General features: G+C 41.8%; 1 non-coding gene across 1 annotated transcript; it reads left to right on the forward strand.

The window, feature by feature from the left end:
• The first annotated feature begins 216 nt into the window (after positions 1-216).
• On the forward strand, positions 217-426 carry LOC124902847 (small nucleolar RNA U3). Its single transcript, XR_007063024.1, has one exon. It is a non-coding gene; the product is annotated as a small nucleolar RNA U3 (small nucleolar RNA).

A 426-nucleotide genomic window follows, 5' to 3' on the forward strand; every position in this document is an offset into this window, starting at 1 on the left:
CCAGCCCAGCAGAGATAAGCTAAGCTGAGCCCAGGTCAGCTAAGACCCTGCACACTTGTAAACAACACAGTTTATTCTTGCACGCCAATGAAATTATTGAGGTTGCTCATTACAAAGGATTAGTATGTCAATGGATATCTGGTAATAAATGCGGTTTAAACATCCAGCAATTGAGGAATGCTGCAATACCTTGCAGCAATTAAGAAAGCTGGTATAAAGACTATACTTTCAGGGATCATTTCTATAGTTCATTACTAAAGAAGTCTATCTGAACATGTAGAACACATGACACCATAAGGAGGAGGCACAACATTCTCCCTAGAGCCTGAAGCTGGCTCTTGGTGTTTCATGACTACAGCAGCCATTTGCCACTGATGACTGTTCTCTTCCAGGAGAATAAGAAGGAGAAGATGCAGTTTGGGTTGT

This window comes from Homo sapiens, chromosome 11 (assembly GCF_000001405.40).
Source record: "Homo sapiens chromosome 11, GRCh38.p14 Primary Assembly".
Taxonomy (NCBI): domain Eukaryota; kingdom Metazoa; phylum Chordata; class Mammalia; order Primates; family Hominidae; genus Homo; species Homo sapiens.